This window comes from Homo sapiens, chromosome 17, assembly GCF_000001405.40.
Source record: "Homo sapiens chromosome 17, GRCh38.p14 Primary Assembly".
Taxonomy (NCBI): domain Eukaryota; kingdom Metazoa; phylum Chordata; class Mammalia; order Primates; family Hominidae; genus Homo; species Homo sapiens.
Genome location: NC_000017.11, coordinates 27,234,986 through 27,241,999, shown reverse-complemented (window position 1 = coordinate 27,241,999; position 7,014 = coordinate 27,234,986). Strand labels below are relative to the sequence as shown.

Genomic DNA, 7,014 nt, shown 5'->3' with positions numbered 1-7,014 from the left:
CTGACGACTTTGGGAAATGTGGCTTTAGTCTAGACAAAGAGTTCTCTAATGTAGTTGTTGGCTAAAGTGTTATGCAGGGGCCCCAACCACACTGCAGAACCACGGTCAGTCCAGCAAGTGAGGGAACTGCCTGACAAAGGGGATGGTCCCTGAGTCAGTCTAACCTGTCAGTTTGGTGGGGCTAGGAATGAAGGCGGACCAGTTCTTCCTGTGAGGTGCAAACAAAAACTGGAAAAACAGCAAGACAGACTTATCCAAGTTCTTTCTGGGCGTGGCTGAGGCTGCACCGTCTCAGTCTTTGGCCATTCCTGAAGCCCTCTCAGCAGGGTCCTCTGTCCTTGCCAAGAAGCTAGAAAGAATTAGAAGACAGATGAGTCAGAATGGAAGGTAATGAGGTTTCTGGGCTTCCAGGGGTGCTCACCCAACCCTCAGGGCTTCCCCTACTGCTCTTCCCCTTTCTCACCCCCACCCAGGATTTCTTTCCCCCTGTAAATGAGAACTGCCCCCACTCCCCACCCTCCACTCTGCAGTCAGTGGGAGGATGCATGCAAGAAGCTGTTGGAGCTTGAGGGAAGGGAGGAGTGAGGGAGATGCCCCTGATGCTGGTGTCTTCATTCTCTGAGCTGGATAGGGACTAACCGTGGGGCAGCCTGCTACCAGCAACACTGGTTTTTCTTTTCTTTTTTTTCCTTTTTTTCTGAGACGGGGTCTCGTTGCCCAGGCTGGAGTGCAGTGGTGCGATCTTGGCTCACTGCAACCTCTGCCTCCCAGGTTCAAGCAATTCTCCTGCCTCAGCCCCCCTTAGTAGCTGGGATTACAGGCACACACCACCACGCCCAGCTAATTTTTTTTTGTATTTATAGTTAGAGATGGAGCTTCACCATGTTGGCCAGGCTGGTCTCTGACTCCTGACCTCAGGTGTTCCACCCATCTCGTCCTCCAAAAGTGTTGGGATTACAGGTGTGAGCCACCACTCCTGGCCCAACAGCACTGATTTTGCAGGGCAAAGCATTATTTGTCTTGAGTCAGTCCTATGGCCTACATAAAATGTGGTCCCCTCTGGATTCGCGGCTGACCCTGGCACTTGTAGCTGGAGAAGGCATGCAAACATTGATGATGCACAGTGCTGGCTCTCAGATGGTAACATCGGTCGCCTCCCCATCCCACTTCATTTACTCAACAAACATTGATTTGAGCCCCTGCCATTCTGGGCCTGGGGCCCAGAGGAAGAAAGGCACGACCCCAGACCGTGAGTGTTCTCTGAGAAGCAGACAGAGGCAACGCTGCTGTGAGAAGCAGAGAGAGGGCTGAGACCATCCTGAGGACAGCAAAGAGGGCACTAACCTGGAAGACGGGCGGCAAAGATGTCTGAACTGAGTCTTGAAAAGCCAGCCAAGCTGCTCACCCCAAAAGAAAGTTTATTCTGGCTGAACCAACCAGCCAGAGGGAAGAGACTTCAGGGATTTCAGTGCTAAAATGGAAGTGTTTACAGTCTCCCTTCCCCAGAGACCCTCACGCTTGCACCCCACCCCAATCCCTGGACTCCCACAGTACCTCCCAAGGGAGAATAAGCAGAAAAGACCCCAAGGGGAGGTATTGCTGGAAGCCTGGCAGAGGGAAAAAGCTGCTCAGTCTTCTGATGAAGGGGGGAGTGGGGACGGGAGCTGAGCTCATTCCTGGCTGTTGAACTGTGCTCTGCCAGAGCTGGGCCCTGTTAACCCTACAGTGAGTTAACCCTACAGTGAGTCCTGAGGGCTTGGAGGGAGCTTTCCCTCAAATCTCGGCATCCAGACTGCTTCTGCTCTGCCCACCAGCCCCGCTAATCCTGGCGGCCACTCATTCATTCACTGGTTTGTTGAATTAATAGTGAGGGAGCACCTTCTCCTAGATCCTAAAGATACAGCCATGCACAAAACAAAGACCCCACAGGTCTTTATTCTAGTGGGGGAAGCAGACAGAGAATGATCAAACGAGGAAGGGAGGAAGACAAACAAGAAAGGGAAAGGGCGAAGAGGTGGACCCGTTCATATGGGAGGGAGAGGCTCAGTAATAGCGGGCATGGGGCAGAAGTCTGAAGGAAGGGCAGGGGGCGGGAGGGAGGGGAGAGGAATCCCAGAGGGAGAAAGCAGCACCTGCAAAGGTCCTGAGGCAGGCCTGTCCGCAGAGCCCTGAGGGTGGGCCGAGCAGGAACTCACTGTGCATGGAGACACGCAGAAGGGTTTAAGAGTGCCAGCTCTGAGCTCATGCATGCCTAGCGGCCTGCATTTAGGCAGAATTGCTTCATCTCCCTAAGGCTCAGTGTCCCTGTCTGTAAAATGGGAAGAATGGTGTTACTGCACCATGGCTTTCTATATACTTTTTCTAAATAAATGGCAGTTATTATCAGGATAATTATAAATGCAATGGATACATGTTCAATAGTTAGTATTAGCACTTTCCCAAAGGGGATTTCCAACAAGGTAAGACACTAGATTTTTTTTTTTGGTTTTATAAAAATATCTTAAATTACACTGATAGTAACACATGTTGAGAGTGAGGTATGTGGGCATCAAGTATCAGCAATCACAAATCACACTCACGCCTTCCCCCACTCCTCACAGGTGGGGCTTGCCCCCATTACTCCAGAGCTGCCTTACAGGCACCAAAAGCAAGGCCTGGAGGAGCCAGGAGCTTGGCTGGATCTGAGCAAGACAGTGTCAGAGCCAGAATTAGGCTGCAGTCATCTTTAGAAGGAAGCAGAAAGTTTCTCTTTGAATTGACACTTCCTCCCATTTTCTTTCCATTTGAGTAAGCACAAACCTTAAGAGTTTAAGCCTTTTTCAGAAAGTTTGGAGCTATGGTCGGTGTAAGGAGACAGCCATCTCCCTTTTAATCTTTGGTTTTGAACGTGAGTGATTGGGAGGTCCCTCGACGACTGGCCTGGGTCTTCAGAAAGGTCTCAAGGATGTGAGCAGGCTGTAGCAATCCTGCTCTGGCCCCCACCCTGCTGGACAGCCCATGGTGGGTGATGGGTGCCACAGCTGATCTGGAATGTTCTGTTCATTTGCCCCCCTGCCAACCCTTCTCCAACCTTCGAGGGAGCCATCCCACCTGGCCCATGCCTCCTGCCACCCAGCTCACACCCCTCATCATCAGAGCGCAGCACGACCCAGCTCTCTCTCCTGCAGGAAGCACATAGCCCTCCCTGCCCTGCTTGGCCCACTGTTCCCAGCTTTCTCAGAGCCCAGTCCATCCTACCGTGGGTTAGCGATGGTGGGAGAGATCAGTGCAGACCTGTCCTAGAGGCGCCTGCCAGAGCAGGGGAAGAAGTAATGACAATGAGTAAACCACGTGCTAATTTTCTTTTTTTCTTTTCTTTTCTTTCTTTCTTTCTTTCTTTCTTTCTTTCTTTCTTTCTTTCTTTCTTTTTTAAGGCAGTTTCACTCTATTGCTCAGGCTGGAGTGCAGTGGTGCGATCTCAGCTCACTGCAACCTCGACCTCCCTGGGCTCCCAAAATCCTCCCATCTCAGCCTCCCAAGTAGCTGGGACTACAGGTGTGTGCCACCACACTGAGCTAATTTTTTTATTGTTTGTAGAGACGGGGTTTTGCCATGTTTCCCAGGCTGGTCTTGAACTCCTGGGCTCAAGTGATCCACCAGCCTCAGCCTCCCAAAGTGCTGAAATTACAGGCATGAGCCACCCTCACCTGGCCTGAGTGCTGAAAAACAGAAAAGCCTCAGAGGCCAAAGATGAAGCACTGGATGGAAGTTGACCTCCAAGCAGGGAGCAGGCAACTCAGCACCAGCCTAGGCTCCACGTGGGGCTGAGAGAGGGGGAAGGCCACCGACAGTCCCTGCTCCATGGGGAAGGCAGCCTCTGACTCTGGCTGACGGGCCGGCAGTCGGATAAGGATTGGCTGGCAGGAATGGGCATCCAGCTGCCTCTGCTGCTGCTGTGAGCTGGGAATGATGGTGCCAGTCAAGTCTGCATGGCCAGGTGGCCGGGCCGGGGTCTCTCAGCTCCAGTGGCTGAAACACACTACAGAATCATCAAACCTAGTCTGAGATAGTCATGAAAGAGATTTAGAAAAAGACATAGTGATTTTGTTCCCCATTTGCTTTTTCTAAAAACACTCCTCTCTAATAAAATGTATGACAGCAATAGCTCTCACTTATTGCTCATTTAATGTGTGGCGAGTGTTTTCCTAAACTCTTTATATATGTGTATTAGCTCATTTAATCCCCACACAAATCTTATGAGGTTTTACCACTGTCTTCACTATATAGATAAGGAAATGGGGGAGTTTATCTCCAGGAAAGTTAAGAAACTTTACCAAATAACTTGACCAAGGTTTAAATGGGGGTCTTACCCAGAGTCAACTTTAACTTCCAGACTGTCTCTACTACATTTTCTTTAAACAGCTCTTTGTGACGGGCTTGACCTTGCTGCAGGGTCTTCCTGTGATTCCCAATTCTTTGGATTCAACCCACATTTAAATCAGTCCTCCTGTTTCTGCCTAAATAAACCAATGCTTATAATATTTAAATATTTATTAAGAGTCTCTATCTCTGCAATGGTATATTTCCAAGATAATTTTTCTGATGAAACCCAGAAGAGAGAGAAAAAGAGAAATATTGATTGAAACCCATATTATGACGATAATTTTGCTGGATAAATATGTTTCTTTTCTTTTTTTTGAGACAGAGTCTCACTCTGTCACGCAGGCTGGTGCAGTGGTGTGATCATGAATTTTTTCAAAATATTAGATCACTAGCTAGAGCTTAGAAATCCTTTGTCATAAAGAGAAAGTTTTGACGAAATGGAATTTGCCATAGCATCCATACTTGCTTACATTTACCAAAGGTTAAACTGTTCCCACGTATCACCTTCTGTTGGGCAATTTACCTTTGCTCACTAGGCATTGGCCAGGGGAGAAATGGTTTACATTTGAGAAAGAGGCCTAAAGCACACAATGCATCCCTACTTTAATTTTTCAAGAAAAATGCCTGCCCAACCTTAAAAAAATCAGGTAAGTAACACAGAGAGTAGGGACTATCATAAAACTATTTACAAAGCTAACTGGGATTAAAGTAGCCCTCAGAGCTTTTAGTGACATCTCCTGACCTCTGCTGGACACATTTGGGATTGCATAGCTCCCAGGTCCTTGAAAGTAACCAGCAAAATAAGAATCTTAAAGTTTACAGAATGCCTCATCTAAATCTCTCATTTCAGAGATGAAGAAAATAAGATTCAATGGGCTTATGTGACCTACCCAAGAGTACACAGTTACTTATGAAGTGGCATATTCAGGACCAGTACCTAGAAATGATTTATTGCCCAGTAAACCACATATGCAAATGTTGATTAACTTCATTGGAATGAATAAATACTCTTTGGATTATCTTTAGAGTACCATCATTTTTAGAAATAAGAACAGCTGACAAGGACAAAGTGGTAACCAAGAGTCAAAATTAGAATTATTTGAGCAAGGTCATAGTTACCTTTATATCCCGTATCCCATATCCCCTAATCCCATAACTCCGTCATTATCTTCAGTGACTGATGATGTCTGTAGAGTAACAAAGAAGAGAGTCGGAGAATTCATTTTCACAAAACCCTTTTTTTTAGTTGTAAATATTTATTCCTGATTGTAGTTTGTTAAAATGAGCTTGCCTTCCTAGAGGAAACTTCAACTGGCCATAGGAAATAAGACTCCCCAGGGTTAAGAGGACTGTTCCTTTCAAGAACTAACTCTACCAGTGTTCCTGCAGAGACACATGGAACCCAAGGGAGGCACCCAGAGGTCTCTGATGCTTCTTCAGCTGGGAGTTTTGGGTCTCCCTATTGAGGCTGTATCTAGAAGAGAAAGCTGAAAGACCACTGAACTATGTAGTCAAATTATTCTACACTTTAATATCTCCAAATGCATAGTGTTAACGAAAGGAGTAGAGTATTATATTTGAAAGAACATAAGCTTTGCAGCCATGCAGTTAGTGGCTGCTTACTATCTATGTGAGCTTAGGTAAATGACTTAATCTCTCTGAGCTTCAGTGTCCTCACCAATAAAACAGGAATCATAAATGATACTTTTCCAGAAAGTTGTTTGAGAATACATGAGATTGTGTGTGTGAAAATCCTAAGCAAAGTACCTGGTGCTACAGGCCAAAGGGAGGGATAATGTTTGATTTCTTCATGGAATTAAATATACACCAGATTTTTTTTCTTTTTTTGGATACTGGGTCTCATTCTATTGCCCAAGCTGGAGTGCAGTGGTGCAATAACAGCTTACTCCAGCCTCGAAGTGATCCTCCCACCTCAGCCTCCTGGGTAGCTGGAACTATATATAGGCACATGCCACCATGTCTAGCTAATTTTTTTCTTTTAATTTCTTGTAGAGACAGAATATTGCTATGTTGCTCAAGCTGATCTTGAACTCCTGATCTCAAGTGATCCTCCTGCTGCCTCCTGCCTCAGCCTCCCAAAGCACTGGGATTATAAGTGTGTGAGCCACCGCACCAGGCCTATGGCAGATTTTTTTTTTTTTAATTTCAGACAGGGTTTTACTCTGTTGCCCAGGCTGGAGTGCAGTGGAGTGATCTTGGCTCACTGTGGCCTCAACCTCCCAGACTCAAGCAGTCCTCCCACCTCAGCCTCCCAAGTAGCTGGGACCACAGGCACCGCCACACCTGGCTATTTTTTTGTATTTTTTGTAGAGATGGGTTTCACCATGTTGCCCAGGTTGGTCTCAAACTCCTGGGCTCAAGCGATCCACCCACCTCAGCTTTCCAAAGTGCTGGGATTACAGATGTGAGCCATTGTGCCTAGTCTAAAGTGTCTCTTTAAGGCACTTGTGAATAGAGTCTTGTCCATTTTAGATTATTTTATTGGGTCTTTGAGATATAGAATTGAGTATTTCTCCATGATAAATGCATAAGTCAGCACTTTTTTTGTGAGAAAAAGTGTGTCTGGGCCAGGCACAGTGGCTCATGCCTGTAATCCCAGCACTTTGGGAGGCTGAGGCGGGTGGATCCCTT

General features: G+C 46.8%; 1 long non-coding RNA gene across 1 annotated transcript, besides 1 other annotated feature; it reads left to right on the top strand.

The window, feature by feature from the left end:
- Window positions 1-290: 290 nt before the first annotated feature.
- On the top strand, window positions 291-4,141 carry LOC124903956 (uncharacterized). Its single transcript, XR_007065676.1, has 2 exons — window positions 291-387; window positions 3,577-4,141. It is a non-coding gene; the product is annotated as an uncharacterized LOC124903956 (long non-coding RNA).
- Window positions 3,130-3,229: an enhancer, noted in NCBI's record as "active region_11891". NCBI's record gives its function as "activates an Ori minimal core promoter by ATAC-STARR-seq in GM12878 lymphoblastoid cells {active_cell/tissue: GM12878}" and the evidence as "EXISTENCE:reporter gene assay evidence [ECO:0000049][PMID:35858748]".
- Window positions 4,142-7,014: the final 2,873 nt, after the last annotated feature.